Genomic DNA, 27,530 nt, shown 5'->3' with positions numbered 1-27,530 from the left:
AGGCATGTTTGAGATTTGAAAGGGCTTTGGCCTAATTTCCTCTCCTATCAAATGGGCACCAGGCTACCTGCCCTTTTTCACTCATGGGGGATTTCTGAGACTCAGAGGGATAAGAGATTTGCAAAGCGTGAGACACAAACAGTTGCAGATACAGACAGAACACTTGCTTTCTCAGACCGGCAGGTGCATACAATGGCAAGGCCACCTGATACACCAGTCCTGTTCATTTGGAAAAGGGACAACTCCTTCACATTCACAAGCTGGGCTGGTAAGTGAAGAATAAGAAGAAAAAAAAAAGAAGTCGGCAGGAAGCAGCCTCTTCAACCAGCAAAGAAACCGTTAGAATCCATCCCTGCGCCCTGATGCCAAAGTTCCGCCTGCCCCACCCGTCACGCTATCAAGGACACCCGCCTGCTATCAGAAAGCCCTGGGGGTCTTTTTCCCTAGTTTATCAAGGACCTGTGGAAACATTTCTCTAACTGAAGATAAGAATTTTTTTTCTCTCTCTTTCTCCTTTCTACTTCTAGCTGTCTAAACCAGAGGGTTCCTCTCATTTTCTTTCAGTAACAACTGCTCTGAAAAGAAGATATTTTTCAACCTGAACTTGCAGTAGCTAGTGGAGAGGCAGGTAAGGTGGGTTTCATTAATTCATTTGTTCATTCATTCATTTCTTCCATTATTGTATGCTTCCTGCATGCCAGAAACTGGGCTAAGAAGGCTCTTGGATTTAATCCTGGGCAGAATGAGCTTGAGGTCTTTGGGGAAGCCAGACTGCACTTAACAATTACAAAATGCGGAATTGTAAATTGTGATCTGAACTTGGAGTGAGAGCATACATATTTGAGCTGAGAGACAGTGTGTATAATAATTTTTTAGATTTGGCTCTTGCCCTCCAAGTGGACGTTTTCAGGGTTAAAAAGATGCCTCAGAGCCTAGATGACTTGCTACCATTCCGTGCCAGCCCCGTCTCCCAACCCAAGTCACAATTGCTTGACCCTTGTGAAGGCGAGGATGGAAATGACTTGTTGGAGTGATAGAGAGGCTAGCATAAACCTGCCAAGACCTCCTTCAAGATTTGGTTCATTTTGCAAAAGTTGCCAGATAAAAGATATTTCCAGATGGAGGGCCACGCAGGAAATACAAATGGAATATTTGTTAATAGCTCTTCCTTTGCGAGATATGACCCAAGGCGGCCTTCTGCAATGTGATGGGAAGCACTGTAGCTTGAAAGCGTGAGAGGAGTCAGCAGGCCCACGGCAGTCTCGAAGTCTTTGGAAAGGGGCTCTGGCCTGAGCAGGCATTAAAGATGCTCTGCTCATCAGAGACGCCCCCTTTTCCACCACCACCATCCCAAATGGAGATGGGACCTGCTATACTCTAAGTATGGGATTCTCAGACAGGAGGGCAGATATCTAGAAGAATATTGAGCTCCTTAATGCTGTGGCTTTGCATAATAACAACCTGCACTCTTTTTTTCTGTCCTTGGAGTCAAATGGGCTTCTGCAAAGAAGTTTATCCAGAAGTCAGGGATGAGCACTATTCGAAAAGTCCTAAGTGGGCAGGGATTGCCACTGATTGCACTGAAGAATGTGTTGGAGCTCATGAGACTGGCTTCCCCATAACATTTGGTTGTCGAATGGTTCCACAGATGAACCTGAGAAGACCGTGAGCTCCCTGGAACAATATGTAAAATTTTGCATGTAGGAACAGAGCTACACCTAGGGAATGGTCTTTAACTTTTGTCAGATTTGTTTGGGGCGTGTGGGGGTTAAATACGTACATCGTAAAATTTAACATTTAACCACTCCCAAGGGTACAGTTCAGTGGCATTAAGCACATAAATATTGTTGGGTGACCATCACCACTATATAGCTCTAGAACTTTTTAATGTTTTCCAACTGAAATGTTTTGTCCATTAAACAATAACTATCCCCTCCCCCTAGCTCCTGGCAACCACCATTCGACTTTCTGTCTCTATGTATTTGTTTAAGTACTTCACAAAAGTAGAATCATATATAGTCTTTGTCCTCTCAGGACTGGCTTATATCACTCAATGTCTTCAAATTTCTTTCATGTTGTAGCTTATGTCAGAATTTCCTTTCTCTTTAAGGTGGAATCATATGTGTTTGCATGTATATATATGATATGTATATATATGATATATATGATATATATCATGTGTATGTATGATATATATATCATGTGTATATATGATATATATATCATGTGTATATATGATATATATATCATGTGTATATATGATATATATATCATGTGTATATATCATATGTATATATATGTACACATAAAATAGTATGCGTATATCACTTTAAAAAATCCATCTGTTGATAGACACTTGGTTGCTTCCACTTTCTGGCTATTGTGAATAGTACTGCTGTGAACATGGGTGTACAAATATTTGTTTGAGTTGCTGTTTTCAATTCTTTTGGGTTTATGTCCAGAATGGAATTGCTAGATCATATGGTAATTCTGTTTTTAATTTTTTGAGGAACCGGCATACCGTTTTCAATAATGCCTGCACCATTTTACATTCCCACCAGCAATACACAAGTACTCCAAACCCTCCAGATCCTCACCAGTACTTGTTAACACTTGTGCATTAGCCATCCTAATGGGTATGCAGTAGTATCTCATTGTAGTTTTGATTTGCATCTCTAATAATTAGTGATGTAGAACATCTTTTCATGTGCTTATTGGCCATTTGTATGTCTTTTTTGGAGAAATGGAGATTCAAGTTCTTTGCCCATTTTGAAACTGGATTGTTTAAATCCAGACAGAGCTTGTCTTGCTCTGTCGCCCAGGTTGGAAGCGTGATCTTGGCTCTGTCGCCCAGGCAGTGGCACGATCTCAGCTCACTGCAACCTCTGTCTCCCTTCCTGGGCTCAAGTGATTCTCCTGCCTCAGGCTCCTGAGTAACTGCGATTACAGGCACACACCATCACGCCCGGCTATTTTTTTTTTTTTTTTTTTTAAGTAGAGACAGGAGTTTCACTATGTTGGCCAGGCTGGTCTCGAACTCCTGACCGCAGGTGATCCACCCACCTCAGCCTCCCAAAGTGCTGGGATTACAGGTGTGAGCCACAGTGCCCGGCCTATATGTTCTAGATCTTAATCTCTTATCAGATATATGATTTGTAAATATATTATTCCATTCTGTGGGTTGCCCTTTCACTCTGTTGATGGTGTCTTTTGATGCACCAAAGTTTTAAATTTTGATGTAGTCCAATTTATCTATTTCTAATTTTGTTGCCTGTGCCTTTAGAGTCATATCCAAGAAATCTTGCTAAATCCAATGTCATGAAGCTGTTCCCCTGTGTTTTCTTTAAGAATGTTATAGTTACCAGGTTTTTAAAAGGTTTGTGACAATGCATGGGCTATCTTCAATAATGATTCTGGAGTGGCCTTCCTCACCAAAGCAAAGACACTCAGGGCTTTGTAAATATCAGTGTGAATCTAGGAACTGGGCAATTGATAACATGGATGTGATATTTGAAGGCTTCAATTCAAAAGGAATGATTAAGTATCTCCATATCTATATCAGTACCCTGGGAGCTAGTGAAGATGAAAACCATGGTCTCTCTTCTCCAAGGACTTAAGGCAAGATGTTGCAGGCACACACGTGAAATTATTGCATTGCAAGGCAGAATCTAATGAGGCACCTAGCTAGGCACTAGGACCAAGGGCTATAAGAACTCAGAAAGGGATCACCACCATGAGCTTCAGGGGACAGAGAAACCTTCAGGGTAAAGATGTAGCTTGATCTGGGTCCACATTGGACAAGATTTGGAGAAGCAGAGAAGACTGGAGAGGAATTTGTACTAACTGCAATAATCATTGCCATTTACTGAGCACCTACTATGTTCCAAGCACTGTGCTCTGCCCACTGCATACATTATCTCAATGACTACTCCTAACCCTACATTTATCATTGTCTGTATTTTATCATTCAAAGCACTGAAGCTCAGAGATTTTCCTAAGATGACCCAGATAGTAAGTTGTAAAGCAGAGACTTGAAGCCAGGTTTATTTATCTCAAAGCCTCTACTCTTAATCACTCTACTATTCTAGTACCAAAGCTTTAGAACAGGGAGAAAGCAGACATCCCCGATAGAGAGAAAAGAGTAACACAGTGCACAGAAATGGCACAAGCAGGATATTTAAGATCAGAGAGGAGAACAGGCTGGATGGGAAGGTTCAGGGTCCAGGACTGTGGGATGTAAAGTTGGATCAATGGAGTGAGCAGGATTACAGGGTGCCTTTAATGGGAAATTTGGTCTCGACCTGCTAGAATGACAGAATCACACATAGAATTTCAGCTCTAACCTTCCAGTCTGCCTCTTTTCTCTATAAAATGAGAAAATTGAGGTCTCAAGAGGTTAAGCAACTTGTGGATGGTCATGGACGATAGGGAACTATTGCAAATTCTTGAGCATGGTGTTGACAGGGAAGAAAACAGTATTCCAGATCAGTTAGTGTGGCAGTAAAACACATGAGGGGTGACTGAAGGGAAGCAGCAAAAACTGGCAGAAAAAACAAGCAGCTCTTTCTCTGTTTTTTTTTGCCAAAGGATACCTCCCTCAACAATGGGCATTCCTAGGGAGCATCATTAACAAGATTCCAGCTCTACTCCTTCCTGCTGAGGTTTGTCGCTTAAGAATCTGGAGACAGGTAGGGTGCAGTGGCTTACACCTGTAATCCTAGCACTTTGGGAGGCCAAGGCGTGTAGATCACCTGAGGTCAGGAGTTCAACACCAGCCTGACCAATATGGTGAAACCCTGACTCTACTACAAATACAAAAATTAGCCAGGCGTGGTAGTGTGCACCTATAGTCCCAGCTACTCAGGAGGCTGAGACAGGAGAATCACTTGAAACCGGGAGGCAGAGGTTGCAGTGAGCTGAGATCACGCCACCGCACTCCAGCCTGGGTAACAGAGTGAGACACTGTCTCAAAAAAAAAAAAAAAAAAAAAGAATCTGGAGACAGCTTGTAGGGGCAAGTGCTATCAGAAAGGTCAGAATCACCTTCCCCTGCCAGGCTCAGTGCCCTTTGATGGCCCAGATGCCAGAAAACACAGCTGCCCCAGCAGCGACCTGTCCTCATCCTCCCCACTTCCTCCAATAGAAAGCCTGTCTAGGGTGCAATGGCTTAGATCAGAGACACGTGACTCTGAAGAGCCAATGGCCAGGAATGGCTTCTGGCACCTTCTTTATGTTGCCTTCCTGAATGTGAGCCTGGGCCAGGCCTCTGTGAACCTAACTCACCTGTCCCATGGAGGCCACCATACCAGGAGAGGTAAGACAAGACACTCCGTTCCCCAGGCAAGAATGTTGACCCCACCTTACTTGAACTAAGCCCTTGTAGGGCAGAACTCCACTTATCCATCTATGTCCAGCAAAGAAAGCCCTGCCCTGGTTGACTATTGTCCTCTGAGGTTCTCTTTGCTTAGTTAATTCTAATAATAGCTGCCATCCATTGAGCACTTATTCTATGTTGATCACTGGGCTCAGCATTTGGCATGCATGATTTCATTTTATTCCTACAACCCCATAATGAAGATATTGTTATCCCTGTTTTGCACATGATGAAACTGAGGTTCAGGGCTGTTAAATAATTTGCCTAAAACCATGTACTTAAAGGAGCCAAGACTCAAACACAAGCCTTTCTCTCTCCAAAGCCTTTGCTTTTACTCATATGATTGACTGCATTCTACACTTTAGTCCTTGTAGAGGGTAGAGGTTCTGCAGTGGAGAGTCAGGCTTCAAAGAGTGGCCTTGTTAATTCCAGACACCACCTGTTTCTCTGTTCCTGGGAGCCAAGAGCCTGATCTCTTTCCCAAACCAAACTCTTGGTTCCAAATATAAATGGTATCTGGACCATTATTCTTCTCCCAGTAATGATGCTCAAGAAAAACAAAGGACCTTGAAGTTCCTTCTACACTTTCACCCAGAGGGCATCATGCAGGCATGCTTTGGCCAAGGGGAATGGTGCTGCCATTTGTACAGTCATTCTTTTAATGAATATTTATTGAGGGCCAGCCACACGTTAGGCACGTTCTAGGTGCTGAAGACACAACTGGGAACAGGTCAGAAAGAGTTTCCACCCTCACAGAGTTTACATTCTAGCTGGGAGGAAAGGCCAAAACAAAACACACACCAAAACCCTGCACATACATCTGTAGTAAAGAGAAAATAGTGATGATGCTAGGAAGAAAAACAAAGAAGGATAACGGGGATGGAGAGTGAGGAGAAGAAGGATTTTATAAAGCCCTCTGAGGATGAAATATTTGAACAGAGACCTGAATGAAGTACATGGGAGCCATGGGGTGATCCAGGGGGAAAGCATTGCAAGCAGAGAAAAGGGCAAGTGCAAAAGCCTTCCAGTAGGAGTCAGCTTGGTTTGTTTTAAGAACCAGAAAGAAGGCCAGTGTGGTTCAGGCAGACAGAGTGAAGGGGCATGCTGGAGAAAAGGACAGGGGGGCAGCAGAGGCCAGATAATAGGGCCTTCCAGGCCACAGTGAATTTGGATCTCAAATATACTGTGCCGGGGTCCCAGGCACTGTGGTGTGTCACTCAGGTGTGGCACCTCTGCATAGCTACAGAGAGGAGACAGGCTGCCTAAACAAAGAGCACAAAGACAGCTCAGTGAGTCAGCTCACCTGGCTCTGACTCCCACCTTGAACTTGAAGCAGCAAATAAAGCTCAGGGTTTGGTACCCAAAGGAGAAGGTGGGGGAAGGTTTGACAATGGCCTGAGGTGGAAGAAGGAGCTGTTGACCCTGTATGTCTCATTTGCTTTGTCCATCAAAGGGTCTGAATTATCAATGGGTGCTCAAACTTTTTTTTTTTTTTTTTTTGAGAAGGAGTTTTGCTCTTATCGCCCAGGCTTGAGTGCAACGGCACGGTCTCAGTTCACTGCAACCTCTGCCTCCCAGGTTCAAGCAATTCTCCTGCCTCAGCCTCCCGGGTAGCTGGGATTACAGGCGTCAGCCACCTCGCTTGGCTAGTTTTTGTATTTTTAGTAGAGATAGGGTTTCATCACGTTGGCCAGGCTGGTCTCGAACTCCTGACATCAGGTGATCCACCCACCTCAGCCTCCGAAAGTGTCAGGATTATAGGCGTGAGCCACCTCGCCCGGCCGCCCAAACATTTTAAAGTTAGAATCTCTTTTTATAAGCAAAATTTTCCATAGAAGGTGACTATGTGCCACTTTCCTCTCCAAGCACCTGATCTGCTTCATTTCACAGAATCCTTAGAACAGCTCCACGAGTAGGTACTCTGAATACTCCCGCTTTACAGATGTGGAAGCTCAAATGCAGAGAGGTTGGGCAACATGCCCAAGGTCAATGAATGCAGAACTGCTGCAGTGGGAGCAGGGGTGGGTGACACCCACTAGGGAGGTGCTTTCAAACTCCTACTGCTCCAAGGAGCAAGCTAGAAAATCCCACTTCTCAGGCCCCTTCCACTAGGACACACTATGAGCTTAACACTGCTAAGAACTCACTGAGGAATGGTGACATTTGGGGGCGGCTCCTTCAGTGCTTTGTTTGGCTTCTTTTTTAAATTATAAATGGTGGTTTGAAAGTTGTTGGAGGGGAAAATCAGATGAAATCAGGGATGTGGCTGAAGCAGTCAGTGTAGCAGTGTAGCAGAGAAGCAGAGAAGCTGTCAGCAGCCTACCCAGGCCCCGAAATGGGCACAGCCCTGCATTTCTGGCCTGAGGCTTGCCGAGGTCTTAGGTGAACTTCAGCTCTTTCTACAGCACCCCAGTCTCAGCACTCTTTGGTGGATGTCCTGATTGGCTGGGAGATTGTTGCTTCCTGATACAGTGGTGATTACTTCTGAAAGATGGGGTAATACCAACAGCTATCGTTTCTGACCATTTACTGTGCAGCATCACTGTGCAAAGTATTTTTATACATATCCTATTGACTCCTCTCAAAACTCCTGTGAGGCAAGCAGGCACCCCAGTGGCCTCATCCTAGTTCTGGCCCTGGTGACATTATGATTGCCTCCATCCTCCATTTGATAGGTACAGAAACTGAGGTTCAGAGAAGTGAAGTAAATTCCCCCAGATCACGCAGCTAGCAAACAGCTGAGCTTCTATGCTCATCCTAAGGCTCGGTTGAAATGGATTTTTTAAAAGATGTATTTTGGGCTCTTTACTATATAGAAAACCGAATCTGTTTATCACTAAGGTTACTAATAGGCCTTACATCTGTGAAAACTTATCTGTCAGCTGGCCCTGAAATGTTCTGAAATGAGTCTGAGCACAGGATGCCTGTGACAACCGAATAGTTTAAAAAAATTCTCCATGGGAGCCGAAACCCTATTAAGACAGGTCTTTATTTTTGTTCCTGAATGCCACATTTAGAAACAAAATGTCATATTTTTGTATATGAATGTCACAAGTGACAAAGCATATGTTGCAACTTGGCTTCTAATGGTTGAAAAAAAAAGAGAGGTAAATTATCATAATGTTGGGATCTTCTCAATTATATTTGCATTTTCATTTCTATCAGAAGTCCATTTTAGCAAAGGAATGTAACCTTAGTCACTTGAAACTGCTGTTCCCTTAGAAAACAATTGTAAATGTAATAAGCAAAAAGGATAGAAAATGCCCACAGGGGAAAAAAATGATCCATCTGGGGTCAGAGCCATCGTGTAGATTGATTCATTCTTCTTCTAGCATTCTTATTCAGGAAGGAAAACTTGAACATTTTCTAGATTTTAGGATATTTAAGATTTGCAAGGAATTGGGGGAAAGGGAAAAGGAATGAAATTTCAGTCCCACTGGCAGGGATCAAATAGAGATTTTCTCAACTTTTAAAAGAACCGTTTTACATGTCCCAATCACCTCATAGTTCCTGAGTCTCTCTTCTGCATAAGGCATGTACTAGTTGTTAAGGGAGGATACAATAAGGTCATGATTGCTTTAAAATTATTCATAATAAAAACACATTTTGAGACTTGATTCTAAATGTTAAACTTAAATTTGAGCAATTTAATTGCCCGTTGAATAGGAATGAAATCCCACCGGTAGGCAGTTATTTCTTACAACCACTGTGTGTGAAATTGAAATCTTAAGATACCATTTCAAATATTCACCTTCTCTAAGGAAGTTCTCCCCAAAGAGTTGTGAAAGATAAGAAACTGACCCAAAGTCATATGCAGTAATCTCTTTTTCTTTACACACTCAGGTCAAAGTAGAAGCATATTATTAAAAAGAAACGTTATGCCCTGAATTTGGCTGTTCTGAGGTTACCTCTTGGAACCCAAGGATATATTTAATTTAAAAACTGACTTGAGCCCCATGCAAAACTGTGACAAGGAAAGTAATAATTTATCAGATTAAATAAAAACAAGCAGATGTGGCCAGGCGCGGTGGCTCATGCCTGCAATCCCAGCACTGTGGGAGGCTGAGGCAGATGGACCGCCTGAGGTCAGGAGTTTCAGACCAGCCTGGCCAACATGGTGAAACCCCGTCTCTACTAAAAATACAAAAAATTAGCTAGGCGTGGTGGCGAGCGCCTGTAATCCCAGCTACTCGGGAGGCTGAGGCAGGGAAAATCGCTTGAACCCAGGAGGCAGAGGTTGCAGTGAGCTGAGATCGCACCATTGCACTCCAGCCTGGGTATCAGAGCGAGACTCCATCTCAAAAAACAAACAAACAAACAAATAACACCCAAGCAGATGCAAACAGGTCATTTAGTCACCACGATAATGAACGTTAAAATGGAAAACACTTACATGTTTTATTTAGGAGAAGAAGGGGGTGAGGTGAAGGAATCCTGTTTCCTGCTTTTAAAAAACAGGAAATAGTTTCCAAATTTGGGTGGGCAATTCTTATTTTAAACCCCCATTTCACCTTTAAATTTAATTTCAAGCTCTTTTAAAATTATCTTAATGATGCCCTTTACTATAACATAGCAGCTGCCATTTATGAGTGCTTACTATATACCAGTTGCTTTTCATGCAAGCAACTTCATATCTGTTATTACCCCCATGCCATTACAAATCTATGTGCCACCCTTTTGTGCACTAACTCATATAATCCCCACAATAACTTAGGCAATAGGTTCTGTCGTCTCCATTTTACAGATGAGGATACTGGGAGTTTATTTGTTTGTTTGTTTATTTATTTTGAGACGGAGTCTCACTCTGTCACCCAGGCTGGAGTGCAATGGCGCGATCTCTGCTCACTGCAACCTCTGCCTCCTGGGTTCAAGTGATTCTCCTGCCTCAGCCTCCCGAGTAGCTGGGGTTACAGGCATGTGCCACCACACCTGGCTAATTTTTGTATTTTTAGTAGAGATGGGGTTTCACCATGTTGGGCAGGCTGGTCATGAACTCCTGACCTCAAGTGATCCACCCGCCTCGGCCTCTCAAAGTGCTGGGATCGCCTCGGCCTCTCAAAGTGCTGGGATTACAGGTGTGGGCCACCGAGCCCGGCCAGGATACTGGGAGTTTAAATTCCTGCTGTGAGCCCAGGTTGACACAGCTGGTCAAGGATGGGTTAGAATCCAGGTAGTCTGACTCCAGAGCTACTACCGCATACTGCCTCCTCAGATTAAATAATTTTCCTAGGACATGCTAACTGATAAGTAAGAGTCTAAATCAAACCCAGGCAGTTGGGTTCCAAAATTCCAGCGTTTAACCACCACATTGACTGGTTATAAGTAGGTAAACTGTTCATCACAACCTATATATTTATTTTCATTTCTGTTAGAAATGAAAGTAGTGTGGTAGGTTACATATTTATCACATAGTTTAGGCTTGCCTAAATTCTAAGTATTTTCTTTTTTAAATTAAAAACAAGGGTCTATCGGAAAAAAAAAAACCCAACTTTTTTTTTTTTTTTTTTTTTTGAGACAGGGTCTCACTCTGTTCCCCAGACTGGGGGGCAATGGTGCGATCATGGCTCACTGCAGCCTCAACCTCCTGGGCTCAAGCAATCCTCCCACCTCCGCCTCCCGAGTAGCTAGGATTTCAGGCAAGCACCACCACGCCCAGCTAATTATTTTTATTTTTTATTTTTTGTAGAAACGGGGTCTCACTGTGTTGCTCAGGCTAGCCTGGGTCTCCCAAAGTGCTGGGATCACAAGCATGAGCCACCGAGCACAGCCGAAAAAGTCTTTTTGTATACTGAAGTCTCCACTAGGACAAAAATTTGCTCTTAAGGCTTCCTTTGGGACACACACACACACACACACACACACACACACACACACACAGCTTTTGATTATACCCATTAGGGACCCAAGCCTTGGGACACAGGGACCAGAAAATGACAAGAGCATGCAGGCAGTAGTAAACTCTGGTTATCCTTAAAATGGGAACAGAAATGTATGCCTATGATCCAGACTGATCATATAAAACCATGGATCCTGAAAGTACGTTCCCTCTTTACAAGCCTTAATGACTGGCATCACGCACAAATAGGCCTTTCAGCTTCTGAACGCAGATATTTTCAAGGAACTCTGAGGCCCAGGAGAGCCTAAGTTTTTCTCCACGGAAGGGCAAACTACTAGCCTCCCCCGCTTCCCCTCTGCGTTCCTGCCTCTTTCTAGAAGGAGGCTGAGAGGGGGAAGCCTGAACCCCCAAATCAAGTCCGCCTTCTTTCTCTGTGCCTGACCCAGGGCAAAATAATCTCTCTGATCCTGTTCTTGACCATTGAAAAAGCACTTTCTCTGGTCGGGATACTACTGGCACTTTACATGGGGGGCAGTTTAACCGCAGGAGTCCGCTTTCTGAAAGGTGCAGAGGGAGGGGATTCCGCCACCAGCCGACTGAGAGGAGCCCCGGCCCCGCGTGGTCCCTCCCAGCCACCCTCCCTCTGGGATTAGCTGCCCTGGCTCTGCTCTAGGCGTCCCCAGCCCGTGCAGTCCCGGCTGGCGCACCACCATCGCCTCTGCAGAGCGCGGCCGCAGCCCGGAGCCCGCAGCCCGGAGCCCGCAGCCTGGGGCCCGCAGCCCGTAGCCCGCAGCCCGCAGAGCCGCGCTGTCCGGGGCATCCCAGTGCACGGCGTCCGTGGACCTGGGACCTCGAACCTGGGACGGGCGGAAAATCCACTGGGAACACTTGCATTTCTGTAGGTGCTTATTTCACATTCTTGTCTTTTCTTGCTTGCTCGAGCTGTTCGTGGGTTACTTTCTGCCTTAGTTAAACCAAAAGGGAAAGGCGGAAGAGGGGAAGCCCTGAAGAATGATTTAGTGGTTGCCCAGCCTCCTTTCCAAGGAGAGGTGTTCGCTGAGCGGCTCTCCCCGTCCCCGACACTGGCCCCTTTAAGAAGCCAAGTCAGTCCTGATGCTGCTGTTTGTATTGCTAATCCCCAGGAGCCCCGTTTAAAAAAAAAAAAAAAAAAAGGAAGAAAAAAGGGGAGGTGGGGGGACCGGGCAGCTGTCTCTTTAAATGTGATTTCCTTCTATTGTATTTGAATCGTGATCAGGAAAAAGGAAATGAAACCAGAGACAGAGGGAAGCTGAGCGAAAATAGACCTTCCCGAGAGAGGAGGAAGCCCGGAGAGAGACGCACGGTCCCCTCCCCGCCCCTAGGCCGCCGCCCCCTCTCTGCCCTCGGCGGCGAGCAGCGCGCCGCGACCCGGGCCGAAGGTGCGAGGGGCTCCGGGCGGCCGGGCGGGCGCACACCATCCCCGCGGGCGGCGCGGAGCCGGCGACAGCGCGCGAGAGGGACCGGGCGGTGGCGGCGGCGGGACCGGGATGGAAGGTTAAGTCCTGAGCAGCAGCAGCAGCTGCAGCCGCCTGGAGCCAGGCTGCGCGCCCCGGCCCCCGCCTCGGCCGCGGCGCGCCCGCAGCCCGGTGATTCGCTCTCTCTCTTTGGCGTTTGAAGGGAGCGCGGTGACTGTCCTTGAGCGCGGAGGGGCGAGCTCGCCGGCGGAGCGCCGGAGCAAGCGGAGGCGCAGGAGCGGCGGCGACGGCGGCGGCGGCGGCGGCGCCCGAGCACCCGAGGGGGTCCGAGCCCCGGCAGCCGGCCAGCCCCGCGCCACAAAGGGAGCGCCCCCGCCGCCCGGCACCCCGCCTCCCTCCCCAATGTCCTCGGCCATCGAAAGGAAGAGCCTGGACCCTTCAGAGTAAGTGCGGCCCCCCTGCCCCTGCCACCCCCGGTGTCCACGGCCTCGCGTCCCGGAGCGTCGGGGGGACCCGGGCGGCCCGCGAGGGGGCTCCAGGTGCGCGCTCGCGGCGTGCCCTTGGCCCCCTGTGCCGAGCGCTGGGCTCCTCCTTCCTCCCGGGTGATTCCGGGGGCTCTGGGAGAGGGACTGGGCGGCGGGCGGCAGGGACAGGGGTCGGCCCGGCGCCTCTGCGGGCCACTCCAGGCTACTGGGACGCTCCCCAAAGCCACCACGGGCCAGAAAGTTTGCACGGGAGCAGGCACGAGGAGAGCCTGGAGGCGCGCAGGTGCAGTCCGGAGAGCGTTCTGGGCTTGACTCTGCTCCCTTCTTCCCTCTCCTTCTCGGTCCTTTCTCTTTGTCCATTTGGTCTTGGAAAGGGGAACATTCCAAGTGGCGGCCTCCGGGGTCCCCAACGGCCGCCTTCCCGGTCCGCAGGTGGAGCCGCTGCCAGCCTTGCGGATAACGGGCGGGTGAGGGGTCCGACCGTCCACCTCGGAGCTGGCTCTGGGCCTCCAGGGATTTCTAGAGCAGCGAAATCCGGAGTAAATCTGAGTAGGTGTACCCCTCCTCGGGGTCCACCGATGGGGACATGTGAACCTCGAAAGTTAATGCACCATTTTGTGTATAGGTGAATTATTCTGGGGAGTAGAGTCTCGTAGTTTTTAGCAGAGTCTTAAAAGGGTTTGGGGTCAGGGAACCAGAGCTCTAATGAGCATTGGCCGCATCTGTTTTCTGAGCCGCGTACTGGTTTGGAATGTTTTTCTATCCCTCACCCATTCTTCAGCGTTAACATGGGGAGTAAGGGGTGTTTAAGATATCATTTTCCTGTCAACGCAAATGCCCTTTTAAGAGTCATTAGCTGTCTGGTTTTGAGAATTTTTATTCCTTTGAAGTCCCCCTCTAATCCTTTGAAGGGATTTGTTACACAAGACCAAAGGAGCTGGTTAATGACTTGTCCATTTGTGCTTTTAAGAGACATTTGTTTTGTTTTTTCTTTTCCTGCTTTAAAAGAATTGTGCTTTCCTGCTTGAAATACCGCACACACACACATACACCCTTCAATTTCGGCTTTCTATGGTGTTTATTTACCTGGGTTTTACCCTCAGTTACCAGCATAAAAGCTCAACATATTCTCATAAAACACAGGAAGTACCACCATCCAATGAGAATATAAACATCACTATTCAGTCTTGAAGGTTAAGACACCAGTTCTGTAATGAGCTAGGTTTGTTATAACAAAAACCCCCACTTCCTTCAACAAATTCTCAGGAGAAAAATAACATTCCTTTTTAAAAGTATGTTTATGCAAACAATGGGTTTAAAGGGTGGTTTGATCACTTTTTTAAAATAAACTTAAAACTGAGCTCTGAGTTTCAGAGACTGGGCAAGATCATAGTAACACAATAAGGGAGTGAATTGGATGAATTGGTGCCTCATGCCTTTTTGATCAGCAGAATTTAGTCACTAATCCTTTCAATAGAAGATTAATCTGAAGGTTTCATTTCCCTGAAGGAAGTTTGCTTCTTTCAAAGTTTGTGCTTTTTCACTGAGGTTAGAAACTGAAACATCCTAACTTCCTAATACAACAGATATCTACTGCTGGAGGCTCACCAGCTCCTTCCTTCACTTCACTATTTGCCCAACGAAGACAGATTCTGATCAAAGAGGGACAAGCCAGTTGAGAAATTGCTGCAGCACATTCTCCCCATGCCCTTAGAAATTGTTATGATTGTCCCAGAAATCCAGGCTTAAATGATACTCAGGTGTAATATTCAAGATAAGGGTCTGGGAGAATATAAAATATTAATTTGAGGGTGAATCAATCTAATTCAGTCATTGTCTTGGATTGTCCACTAAGTATAATGTGATATTATCATTAATTAAGTATAGAAAGACAGAGCCAATATCTTATACTTTACTTCTCCATCTCATCTCAGGCCATCACCGTAACTCTTTTACTTTACATTCCTCCTGTTGTCCAGTATCCTACTAGATGCTTCATTGTGTACTTCCTCAAATCCAGCTTGGGTCATTACAATCAGCATCTCCAAATTACAGATGGAGACTTGCCTAGCTATATGCAAATGAAACATTTGGACAGAAAGCCAGCCAGAATTCATGAACACAGATTCCCTTGCTGTGCTACTGGTGGCCCCCACTGCCTCCCCTGTGAGTAACAAGAGCAGTTCATTTGAATTCCAGGCAGTTTTGCACCAGCTAAGGGCAAATTCTCTTCTTTCACAGTCCTTTGGCAGCATCAACATCGGGACATCCAATGTGCGTCCAGGTTCCATGAGTGGTTTTGAAAGCCCAGAGTAAGACCATGGGCTGTGGAAAGAGAAGAGATGCAACTCTGAGTTGATACACATGAAAAAGCTAGGGTATTAGTTATTAGAAGGGGAAATGGCAGTCCTTATATACAATCTGTAGAAACAAAGGAAAGAAAGCAAGGCTTCAGTGAATGAAACCTCGTCTCTACTTAAAATAAAAAAAATTAGCTGGGCCTGGTGGTGGACACCTGTAATCCCAGCTATTCGGGAGGCTGAAGCGGGAGAATCACTTGAACCCAGGAGGTGGAGGTTGCAGTGAGCCGAGATTGTGCCATTGCACTCCAGCCTGGGCAATAAGAGTGAAACTGTGTCTCAAAACAAACAAACAAAAAACTATAGTTTTGAATTTTTTTGAGCTAGGGTCTCACTGTGTTGTCTAGTCTAGAGTGCAGTGCTCACTGCAGCCTCAACTTCCTGGGCTCAGATGATCCTCCCACCTCAGCCTCCTGGGTAGCTGGGACTACTGGCTCATGCCACCAAGCCTGGGCAATTTTTTATATGTTTTGTAGAAACAGGATTTTGCCACGTTGCCCAGGCTGGCCTCAAACTCCTGGGCTCAAGTGATCCTCCTGCCTTGGCCTCCCAAAGTGCTGGGATTACAAGCGTGAGCCACTGTACCTGGCCATTTTTTTTCCCCAGATAAACTAACTTGAGCTTCCCATTTTCTTGTTCCAAAGATGATAGTCTCATGAAGTGCTGTTACACTGTGTCTAGAAAGTGTGGGCATGGCTTTAGCACTCCTAAATATTCATAAGGAACACTTCATACTTCACATGACGGGATCACCTGAAGTTGTCAGAGTGTTATAGACATTGAGCCACCTAGCCTCCTGTCCCCAAGTATAATGGCTGCTGGGCTTTATGGGCACAGACCAATTAGGACACAAGGTCGCCTGGTAAGTTAGTACCAGTTAGAAATAGGAGACATGGATTTATACCTGCAGGGTACCCAGGAGGAAACTCCCTTTGGGAATTTTACAGATGGAAGAAGGTCTGTTTTTTGAAACATAATAGATTTTTAAGAAATAGATTTGTGTTTAAGTAAGGTTCCAGAGAACACTTGCTAATTATTATAAATCAACACGTATTAAGTGTTTGCTGTGTCCCATGTGGGGGACACTAGAATAATTCCTTCCACTCCTTTATTTTCTTTTAGCAAAGTTATTTATTTTTAAATGTAAAAATGTATTCAGATTCCAGTGAAGCAAAGTGAACAGGAGATGCTATGCATGGCGTATTAACGAAAGAACACGTGTCACAGCCTATTAACAATTGCTGGATTGAGATGTCAGTGTCTGTTTAATTGCCTTCCACTCTCTTTGAAATAATCATTGCCCCCACTTCATTTTCTTCCTCAAATCAACTTTATCCAAATCAATTTTACTCTTATAAAAATGTTCAGGTAAGGAAAGAAAGGCCTATTTGATGTCCTTCGTGTAACAATGGCCTTACGATATGGGATTTTCCTCCAAGTATTCCTTCAGTAGGAAGAATGGAAAATGGAATTTCTGTAAAAAAGTAAAATTAGGAGAATTCCTATTATGTCCTGATGGAATTTTGATTTTGGAAAGAGAAAGCAACCTAAAATAATTTTTGGTCTCATTCTTCTTTCTTCCTCACCTCTGCTTTTGTGCAGTTGGTTAGGGCTGGAGGGAGGATGGCACTGGGGATTTGCAGATTCTTAGCACTCTGGGTCATCTGCTGCCCTGGCAGTGAGCGACTCTTTTAGTCCAGAGTGCGTCCTTTGAGGTTAGGCAGTGCCCTTGGGTGTCCAGGTTATGGGAGGAGGAAAATGAGGGAGATCTGTGAAGATAGAGTCAGCGGGGAGAGTGGGAAAAAGCAGAAGGAGACCAGAGGTGCCCAGGTAGTGCTGGGCATGGGCAGGGGCACAGTGCCACCTGCAATTGCCTTTGATGCCTCTTGGTGCCCTGTGTTTACTTCTTAGACATCTAGGGAGTAAGGTCTGGCTCTTTCCCGTCTTAACCCAAGGTTGGTTGGGACTCTGCAGTCTGGCCAAGGGATGTGTTGTCCTGTCCCTTCTCCCTTAGGTCACTGAAAGGCAGTCAGGTGAGATGCCCTGTCTGGCCCAAAACGATCTCGGACCCTCGGTGCTGGTCTCACTCTGGTGAGGCTGTCCCTGATGCTTGGCCTTCTCTCCAGGGAACCAGTGGATGAGGTGCTGCAGATCCCCCCATCCCTGCTGACATGCGGCGGCTGCCAGCAGAACATTGGGGACCGCTACTTCCTGAAGGCCATCGACCAGTACTGGCACGAGGACTGCCTGAGCTGCGACCTCTGTGGCTGCCGGCTGGGTGAGGTGGGGCGGCGCCTCTACTACAAACTGGGCCGGAAGCTCTGCCGGAGAGACTATCTCAGGTACCCTCCCCGGCACTCCACTGGGCCCTCGGAAGGGAGGCTGGGTGGTCCATGGACATCTGCAGTCGGTGTGTGTTGCCCCTTACCCTGCTCCAGGCTCGGACACCACCTATAGAAAGAGGTCAGACTGCAGAGGCTGAGTCTCAGCTCCTGTGCTGAGAAGCAGAGGGCATTTCTTCCTGTTTGAGAAGCATGTTCTCAGGGTTACGTTCCTATGTGGTAAAATACTAATATCTTTAAAGGCAAGAGAATTGTATACCCAAAATTCAGAAAAGTGCTTCCCTTGGGGAGCGGGAGAAGCTAGGGGATGGGATTGAGGAGGAGTACACACGGAGGATCAGAGGGACTGGGAGTGTTTCTAAGTTTGGAGGTGGGCTCTGAGGACCTCATTTGAATGCTTCAGAACATATATGTATGTTATAAATTTTTTTTGTATGACTCCAGTATTATATGATGAGAAATTTAAAAATAGAAAGCATATGGAGCTCCAAGCATTGACTCATAGCAGGAAGGCAGTCTTCGAAGAGCAGAAAGGCAAAGGCCCTGTAGGCAGTTGGAGGTTTGAGTCCCAATACCATTGCTTCCCAGCTTGGTGGCCTTGGGCAAGTTATTTAACCTTCCTAAGCCTCGATTTCCTTATCTGTAAAATGGGGATGATAATAGCACCTACCTCTAAGGATGTGGGGAGGATTTGATGGAATAATGCAGATAAACTACTTGGCTTGGTATGGATCAAATAGATGTTAGCTGCTCTTACATAATCATTATTTTCCAATCTAATGAGCAAAGGGATGGAAGAATGGAAGAGTAAAATAGGAACTCGACAACACCAAGTAAGACAGGAGCTGAGGACATCTCCCATGCTCTGGGCCATCCTATTGGCCATCCGAATTTTCCAGCACTGTGTGAAAGCCTTTGCCTAGAATGTACTAGTGTTTCTAGTTTCCGATGAGCTGCTGTGGAGGTAACTGTCTCTGTGCCCTCTACTGTCAGATCTGCTCAACTGTGTAGCTGTCAGTATTTCTCCGTTTTCCTGGAGCAGAGGGTCTGTGAAGCATGCTTCCCTGATACACCAGGACCATCCAACCCATGGAAGCTTGTTGAGACCTCAGCGCCCTTGGCTGCTGGGCCAGCTTTTCCTCCCAAACCTGCCCTCAGAGCATTTTACATTATAGAAACAAAACAAAACCAAAAAAACTGCAGGCAGTTTCACAGTGAAGGAAGCTTTACCTAAAGACTGTTAGAAGAAGCTTTTTGTCCTTGAATTCCCAGATAAAGTTCTTGCAGTCCTTGCAGATATGGTGGTTCCGAGAAAATAAGTAGGATTTTGCAATGATCATGCTTATAATTTTGGTCAGTTTTCTTTTTTTTAAGTCACAGAAAATAGAACTTGGATAAATACAGACCTGGTTTTGCTCACTCCCAGTTTGCCAAGTCAGTGAGAGGGCAGACGGGTAAATGATTCCCATCGGACCCTTGACTCCATCCCTGTCAAATCATTTGAATCTTATTAACTGAAGTGCAGATAGAGTAAGGTCAGAAGAGCCCCAGCTTCTCCCTATCTCTACCGTTTTATATAACATTCAGGAATAAAACCAGTGCTGCCTGGGCTTGTTAATCCTTTCCATTTTCAAAAAGGAGAGGAAAAAAAAAACAGTCTGGGAGAACCCAATGTTAATTAACTTGTGTCTTGGTGACATGAAATAATTCTTCTCCCTGCCACATTCCTAGGCAACATGTTAATTAACTCTGCATTAGTGCAGGCATTTCCAGCCATTCTTTAATATTTATATTATTGTTATTAAAATGGGCAGCAGAGAGCTTAAGATGGGACATCTCTTGACAGAGGAGAAAAATTGTCTTTTGCGTCAGGGATGGTCCTTTAGCCAAGGTCTTGTTTACTGGCATTCTTAGTATATCTGGCAGGATCTTTTAACAAGGCAAGTTGGAGGAGTAACTGAACGGGCCCTCTAATGTGTTTGAGTTCTTCACCCCTAGGATAACTTGTCCCCGTGAGGATTTCCAATGGCTGAGTTGCCTGTTACAGTTCTTTTCCGACATTTAGCTTCAAACATTCATGAGACCCCCATGCAGAACCTCAACTCTGCTGCTGTGTTGTATTGTTGGGAACCCAAGAGCAGCTGTTCATGTCTGTGCTGAGCCAGATCTCCTTGGATCCCTTTTCACTAATTCTTGTGTGCTGGGAGTGGTGGGGTGGCGGTGATGGCAGTGGTTTTGCTTTTAACAGCCAGCACCTGAATCTGTTAGAGCCAGAAGTATGCCTGCCCCAACTAGACCCCCAACGGACCTTAACCAGTGACAGACATGGTGGGAGTACCAAGCCCCGCAGCCTTGCCTGGAGCCAGGCATAACTTATATTCCAGGGTCCCTCCCCTCTGAGGGACTTTGCCTGAGGATACAACTTGGCTTGGCTTCCTCCCCTTCCCTCCAGCCTCCCCTGCTGCCTTCCAGGTTTTTCCTGAGAATGCCTCATTCATAAATCACTGGCACATCAATCCTTGCCTCAGGGGCTGCTTCTGGGATATCCAGCCTAAGATACCAATTCTTGGTGCCAGAGGTTAATGCTCAAGTTAGGTGTCAAGTCCCGGCTTATTTTTTACTAATATTAGAATCTCCGAATCCCAGAGCTGGAAGGGGCTACAGAGACCTTCTTTTTCAGTTCCCTTGCTTTATGGCTTAAGTCACAGAAGCCTGTACAGGGGACTCCATTTGCTCAGGTCACCTGGCAAGTTAGAGGTCATGCTGGGACCTGAACTTGTCTCCCACATATTCGTCCTTTGTCCTTCCCTTCATAGCTGCCTGATGTGGGTTGTAATTTACCCCCTGACTTCCCTTTAATAAGCTCCCTCCTTCCTTAAGGATCGCACACCCCAGGCAGTTGGATTCATTCCATGCACACTGTTTTCTCAGTCGTTCATCCTTGCTCAGGCCCAAACTTAACTTACAGAGCAGTCAGGAAACCAGAACTGTCTTTCCACTCTGTGACCTCCAATGTGGCGGTTACCTGCAGCTCCACCATCTGCTACGTTGGGATAAAATGTTCTCCCCCCAGTAATGAGTTTGCTCCCAGGCGGTGCTTTGAAAACACTCAGAGATCTTCAAATGGAAAGCAGGATTCAGAGGCAAATTAGCTGGCCCTGGCCCGAACAATGAGCTCTCCACTCACAGACCACCTCTTGTCAATTCCATTAATCTCGCCCAAATATTGCAAAATGTGTCAACTGCCCTTAGGTCCCCTACAACCTCTCAGAATGTACCCACTGATTCTCTGATATCCTGAAATCAACCAGAACTTCCAATAAGAGCAAGCATTCACCTAAAACTGTCCTAAAGGTTTTATGTAGAAACCACCTGCTAACATGCTATGTTTTCAGCCACGAGTGAAAATTACTTCCTGCAGCAAGACTGGCACAGCTGGGAATACACCCAAGATGTGTTAAAACATAACCAGCGTTGGCTTAGCCCTTGACCATGGGTGCCCTGACATGCTTCGTTTGGTTGTTTTAACAGCTGAGTGAGGTGGAGCCTATGATGGCTGCCATTTCACTGAGGCTCAGAGAATCAGAGGTCTCTCCAGGGTCACTCAGGGCTGGTCCGGGACATTGAAGCTGGGTCTTCTCTGCTTCCGGTACTTGTGTTACTGCACTTTTGCTGTTGATTCTCAAATGTCAGCCTGCAACCAGTCCCCCGGAAGTGTTCATTAACGCACAGACTGCTGGGCCTTCTCCCCAGGGTGTCTCAGTTGGGTAGGGAAGGAGGAGGGCTGAGAATTTGTTTTTTTGTTTGTTTGTTTAGTTTTTGCTTTTCTTTTGAGTCAAGGTATGGCTCTGTGGCCCAGGCTGGAGTGCAGTGGCATGATCTCGGCTCACTGCAACCTCCACCTCCCGGGCTAAAGCCATCCTCCCACCTCAGCCTCCCAAGTATTAATAGCTGAGACTAGAGGCATGCACCACCGCACCCGGCTAATTTTTGTATTTTTTGTAAAGACACAGTTTCACCATGTTGCCCAGGGTGGTCTCGAACTTGTGAGCTCAAGTGATTTGCCTGCCTCAGCCTCCCAAAGTGTTGGGATTACAGGTGTGAGCCACTGCGCCCAGCCTGAGAATTTGTATTTCTGTCAGGTTCCCAGGCAGTGCTGATGTCGCTGGTCCCAGGACCAACACTTTGAGAACCACTGCACTGAGCCCTGCCATGTTCTGTCTCCCACCTTGACACTGAATACTGCCTGAAATAAGTGACTGATCAACTGAGGCTTGGGAGAGTCTTGATTTAAATGTCAGAAAAGAAGTTTCCCTTTTGATTCATGCCAGTGGGCAGCGAGGGCCATGAATTAAGATCCTCCCTTCATGGTGGAGAGATGCTGTTGGTCCTCCATATCTCAGAGGCACGATTAGCTGCACCGCGTGTTTTCTGTGGAACTCCCTGTCTCCCAGCAGCTGGGGCCCCAGCGAATAATCAGGGGGAGATGTGCTTTGCAGCTTATGGAGGTATTCAAGGCCAGCTCTCCCCATGGGTAGAATCAGTGGCTGTTGACATGATAGAGTTTGGGAGCCTCAGAAGAATGCCCGTTTTATTGCATTCCTGGTCAGTACCCTCTCAAAGGGGCCCCTAGGGTCTCTCTCCAGCTGCTCTTCTGAAATGAGGGTTCCCCTGGGAGGGGACAGGTAATACTTGCCTAACTCCTTATGATAGATCACATCAGCTGAGAGCCTTGCCCACAGAGGAGGAGCCAGGGGGCAGCCTAGGGGAATGATGAGCGGTTGCTGCAGACAAGGAGAGGGCTCAGAAAAGGGAGGAGTTATGCCAGATCCAAATGCCAGTTTCATCTGAGTTCCCTCTGCCTGCTGGTGAAGACTGCACTAGCCGGCCCTCCTTCTGGAGCCGACCTTCCCTGGCTTCCTGACATCCTGAAAGTTCGGCCTCCTTTCTAGGGCTCATCCCCGAGCCCTGTCTTCCAGGATTGTCCCTTTCACTGTCTTCTTAGCTTTTCTTTCTTTTGCCCCAGGCTTTTTGGGCAAGACGGTCTCTGCGCATCCTGTGACAAGCGGATTCGTGCCTATGAGATGACAATGCGGGTGAAAGACAAAGTGTATCACCTGGAATGTTTCAAATGCGCCGCCTGTCAGAAGCATTTCTGTGTAGGTGACAGATACCTCCTCATCAACTCTGACATAGTGTGCGAACAGGACATCTACGAGTGGACTAAGATCAATGGGATGATATAGGCCCGAGTCCCCGGGCATCTTTGGGGAGGTGTTCACTGAAGACGCCGTCTCCATGGCATCTTCGTCTTCACTCTTAGGCACTTTGGGGGTTTGAGGGTGGGGTAAGGGATTTCTTAGGGGATGGTAGACCTTTATTGGGTATCAAGACATAGCATCCAAGTGGCATAATTCAGGGGCTGACACTTCAAGGTGACAGAAGGACCAGCCCTTGAGGGAGAACTTATGGCCACAGCCCATCCATAGTAACTGACATGATTAGCAGAAGAAAGGAACATTTAGGGGCAAGCAGGCGCTGTGCTATCATGATGGAATTTCATATCTACAGATAGAGAGTTGTTGTGTACAGACTTGTTGTGACTTTGACGCTTGCGAACTAGAGATGTGCAATTGATTTCTTTTCTTCCTGGCTTTTTAACTCCCCTGTTTCAATCACTGTCCTCCACACAAGGGAAGGACAGAAAGGAGAGTGGCCATTCTTTTTTTCTTGGCCCCCTTCCCAAGGCCTTAAGCTTTGGACCCAAGGAAAACTGCATGGAGACGCATTTCGGTTGAGAATGGAAACCACAACTTTTAACCAAACAATTATTTAAAGCAATGCTGATGAATCACTGTTTTTAGACACCTTCATTTTGAGGGGAGGAGTTCCACAGATTGTTTCTATACAAATATAAATCTTAAAAAGTTGTTCAACTATTTTATTATCCTAGATTATATCAAAGTATTTGTCGTGTGTAGAAAAAAAAACAGCTCTGCAGGCTTAATAAAAATGACAGACTGAAATACAGTGTTGTTTATTTGATTACGACTTATAATTTGGGATGGCGGGGAAATGCTCTGCTTTTTCTTTTCTAAAGGAGAAGCAAATAAGCAATTTACTCTTAGGTCAAATAAAAACTTCTGTGTATTGCAAGGGTTTGTATGAGGCAGGCACATTTCTATATTACTGGCAATTATGTAACAGGTCATCATGTAGCTCAGAGGAATGTAGAATAATTAAATTGTTATTGTACAATATGCATTTCACTTCAGCATTGTATGGAGTGAGTGGAAGGCAAGATCATTGCCTTTGGGAAACTTGTAACCTAGAAAGGACACAAATACATAAAGCAGATTCCCTTTGGGAGAGAAGGTAATTACCTAGTTTGAAATGTGGCAAAGATGCTGAGCTTGACACTTCGATTTTCCAAGACGGGTGTCTCAGGGTGTTTTATGACAAGTGGTTAAGAGGACCTTTACTTTGCGGATTTAAAGCAGGCACCTTGGTTTGTGTGTTTGCCTTCCCCGGAGTCAGGCCGCCCCCATGAACTGATGCAGAGCGCCACCTTCTGGCCATCACCTTAAAGCGCGCTAGCCCAGGAGGGTCCCGACGTAGGACAAACCTAGATGAAGAAGAATATGCTTTTCAATGATTTCCTTAGAGTACTCGGAAATGCAAGAAGTCTAAATGTGTTCAGTTATTAAGACACAAGAAACATGCAGCTAAGGCTGCATGTTAACTATAAGATTCCTTTAAATCTTCCTAAGGTTTGTGATCTTTGTTATTTTTAATTTTTTTAAATCCCTGGACAGAGAGACAAATGATTTTTTTTCTTCTAGAGGAGAAATAATGAAGTGATGGCTCTCTTGGTCTGTAAAATGCTACAAGTAGTTGGGAAATTTGACTGCTTAAGGTGGCCTATTTAAAACAAATCCAGTTACATTGCATTCCAGCTCAGGTGATGGAAAGGCATTACCAGCGAGGGGATGTTTGTTCTAAGTCAGTGGTTCTCAAACTCTCTGGGGACCAGCAGAATCAACATCACCTGGTAACTTATTATAATAAAGAAACAGATTCATGGGCCCCACCCCAGATACCCTAAATCAGAAAATCTGGGGATGGGGTTCAGCAATTTGTGGGTTGTTTGTTTGTTTCTTTGTTTTGAGACAAGATCTCTCTCTGTCCCCCAGGCTGGAGTGCAGTGTTATGATCCTGGCTCGCTGCAGCCTTGACTTCTTGGGCTCAAGCAATCCTCCCACCTCAGCCTCTGTAGTAGCTGAGACTACAGGCTCACACCACCACGCCCAGCTAATTTTTATCTTTTTGGTAGAGATTGGGTTTCCCCATGTTGCTCAGGCTGGTCTTGAACTCCTGGACTCAAGTAATCCACCTGCATTGGCCTCCCAAAGTGTTGGGTTATAGACATGAGCCACCGTGCCCCACCTGTGTTTTAATATGCCTTAAAGATGATTCTGACGCATGCTCAAGTTTGAGAATGGCTATTCTAAAATATCTCCCAGTTAGGAAGATCAAGCATTCTAAGTTATTAATATTTGATGCAAAGGTTAATCACTGAAACTCTTCCACATGTAGATACTGTCTACCCTTGGTTCCTAAACTGAAAACTTTCACATACATTCATCACTCATTTGTTCTGCACATCATCTTCAAAATCAATCACAATTTAATTCACCATTTTAAACCATATTTACAGTAATAATAGTAATGGTAATAGATTTTATCTATGCAATTATCTTATAAGCAGTATTAAGTAAAAATACAAATGATCATTGCTTTGGAAATCTAAACTTTATTCTTAATCCCCATTGTAGCACAACACACATTAAGATTCAAGAAATCAGCCAATATTTTTGTCATGCTCAACAAAGCAATAATTAACCTTTTCCATTTGTCAATGGCACCATCTTGCAGAATTGTGGATGCGCAGGCAGTCTTTGTAGCACGTCACCCCAGGGGCCCAAATATCTAACCCACAACTGACTTAAGAGGAAAGACATGTAAAGGGACTCAGTGGGACCAGCTCCCAAGGTCTACCCTGGTGGTCCTTGCATGAATGTGTTACTGTGTGTGCTCTAGACCTAGGGTCAGGAGAACTGACATCTGCTCTCTTCCCTGGTCCGTGCCTTCATTAAAGCAGTTGGCTGGAACATTTTGCATCCTCTTATCTCTTGAATGTCTTTTGCCCCAAACCAGCTTCCTTTTATTGCTGCTTCTAAAATAACTACTACTTTTCAGGAAAACTTGGAGTCCTACAAAGTTAAAATAGAACAAGCATCTAGGAGATTTATCATCTGAAGACTTGGATTTGAATTCCAGTGGACATGACTTTAATTGCTTAATAACCATTTACATAGCACTTACCATTTGCCAGGCACTCTTCTAGTTTTACATACATTAACTCCTTGAGGCCACATAACCTGCCTCGGTGGCAGTTTCTACTTCTTATCACCTGCATTGTGCTGCCAAGGAAAATGAAGCACAGATGGTTAAGTAACTAACTTCCTAAGGTCCTGCAGCTGAGAAGTGACAGCAGTCGCTTTAACCAAGGCGCTTCACCCTGTGCCCTGCTGCTCTCTCGAAGTCTCACCTCACTGAACAGCAGGTTTCCCATCTGCAAAAGAGGGAGAATGAACACCTTCCGTCCCAGATTATTTGGGGATATTTGAGTTTAGGCAGAAATGTAAACAAAGCACAATGATATAGGATTAGCACCACAATAAAGCAATGTAAAAAGTGCTCTGGAAACGCAGATAAGGGAACAATTAAATTGGCCCAAGCATATCTGTCTGGAGTAAAGAGAAAGAGACATTTGAAATGGCCTTGGACCTGGAAGAGCAAAGACTTGGGGACCTTGACTTGCAGCATGAGTATTTCAGTGAGCCCAGTTTGTGTATGGGTGTTGGCTGGAGGCCAGCCAGTGAAGGGTTTAAATTTTGATGCTGTCACTTTCTGGTGGGGTGCCCTTAATTGCCAGTTTCTACAAGATCTGGGCCCTGTGGACATTGCTGACCTGTGACTTGACCTTGGACCCTCAGCTCAAGCCCCGCCTCTTCCAGGTAGCCCCCTCAATCTCTCCAATTTACAGCTGCTCATCCAATCATTCTCAAGTACTAGAAATCTTCTAATTAATAGGATAAACTATTAATATGCTGGCTCCTGGACCAAACTGCAAATCTACAGAATCAGGATCTCTTGGATGGGACCCAGGAATCTACACATTCATCAAGCAACTCCTCTTCCTTTGTTGTCCCCTGACTTCAATAGAACATTGCTGCTAAACCCTGAACCCTGAGTTCCACAAAATCAGGGACACTGTCTCTGGTTTACCCTTGCCAGACTGTAGCACCTGCCTGGCACATAGTGCCCAATATATTTCCTTCCTTCCTTTGTTCCTTCCTCCTTCCGTTCTTCCTCCTTCCTTCCCTTTTCTTCCTTTCCTTCTCTTCCTTCCCCCCCTTCCCTTCCCTCTCTCTTTCTCCCTTTCTTTCCTCCTCTTTTTTTTTTTTTTTTTAGAGACAGGGTCTTGCTCTGTCTCCCAGGCTGGTTTTGAACTCCTGGGCTCAAGCAATCCTCTTGCCTCAGTCTCCCAAAGTGTTGGGATTACAGGTTTGAGCCACCATGCCCAGCCTGATTGTTATATTTTCTTTGTTTTATTT

At 45.9% G+C, this 27,530-nt stretch overlaps 1 protein-coding gene across 7 annotated transcripts in view, besides 5 other annotated features; it reads left to right on the top strand.

Annotated features, from left to right (window-relative positions):
* Positions 1 to 23,876, top strand: part of LMO2 (LIM domain only 2) — a 33,501-nt gene extending 9,625 nt beyond the window's left edge. Inside the window, exons 2-7 of one of the 7 annotated variants that reach the window (XM_047426944.1) lie at positions 176 to 268; positions 565 to 633; positions 12,465 to 12,742; positions 12,866 to 13,106; positions 17,635 to 17,850; positions 22,877 to 23,876. In XM_047426944.1, coding sequence (XP_047282900.1) covers positions 12,736 to 12,742; positions 12,866 to 13,106; positions 17,635 to 17,850; positions 22,877 to 23,096 — 684 coding nt within the window. In that variant the 5' untranslated portion in view covers positions 176 to 268; positions 565 to 633; positions 12,465 to 12,735 and the 3' untranslated portion in view covers positions 23,097 to 23,876. Of the gene's footprint in view, positions 1 to 175; positions 269 to 512; positions 634 to 12,464; positions 13,107 to 17,634; positions 17,851 to 22,876 lie in introns of those variants that run through there. The other 6 variants (NM_005574.4, XM_017017733.2, XM_047426946.1 and 3 more) reach the window with 6 other exon arrangements.
* Positions 11,830 to 12,069: a silencer, noted in NCBI's record as "silent region_3248". NCBI's record gives its function as "represses an Ori minimal core promoter by ATAC-STARR-seq in GM12878 lymphoblastoid cells {active_cell/tissue: GM12878}" and the evidence as "EXISTENCE:reporter gene assay evidence [ECO:0000049][PMID:35858748]".
* Positions 12,500 to 12,919: a silencer, noted in NCBI's record as "silent region_3247". NCBI's record gives its function as "represses an Ori minimal core promoter by ATAC-STARR-seq in GM12878 lymphoblastoid cells {active_cell/tissue: GM12878}" and the evidence as "EXISTENCE:reporter gene assay evidence [ECO:0000049][PMID:35858748]".
* Positions 12,940 to 13,019: a silencer, noted in NCBI's record as "silent region_3246". NCBI's record gives its function as "represses an Ori minimal core promoter by ATAC-STARR-seq in GM12878 lymphoblastoid cells {active_cell/tissue: GM12878}" and the evidence as "EXISTENCE:reporter gene assay evidence [ECO:0000049][PMID:35858748]".
* Positions 13,210 to 13,289: a silencer, noted in NCBI's record as "silent region_3245". NCBI's record gives its function as "represses an Ori minimal core promoter by ATAC-STARR-seq in GM12878 lymphoblastoid cells {active_cell/tissue: GM12878}" and the evidence as "EXISTENCE:reporter gene assay evidence [ECO:0000049][PMID:35858748]".
* Positions 24,300 to 24,473: a silencer, noted in NCBI's record as "fragment chr11:33879525-33879698 (GRCh37/hg19 assembly coordinates)". NCBI's record gives its function as "represses an EF-1alpha promoter that drives an FKBP-Casp9 reporter gene in an ReSE screen in K562 erythroleukemia cells {active_cell/tissue: K562}" and the evidence as "EXISTENCE:reporter gene assay evidence [ECO:0000049][PMID:32094911]".

Source organism: Homo sapiens, chromosome 11 (assembly GCF_000001405.40).
Source record: "Homo sapiens chromosome 11, GRCh38.p14 Primary Assembly".
NCBI lineage: Eukaryota > Metazoa > Chordata > Mammalia > Primates > Hominidae > Homo > Homo sapiens.
The sequence above is the reverse complement of the archived record's forward strand: the minus strand, read 5'-3'. Positions and strand labels throughout refer to the sequence as shown.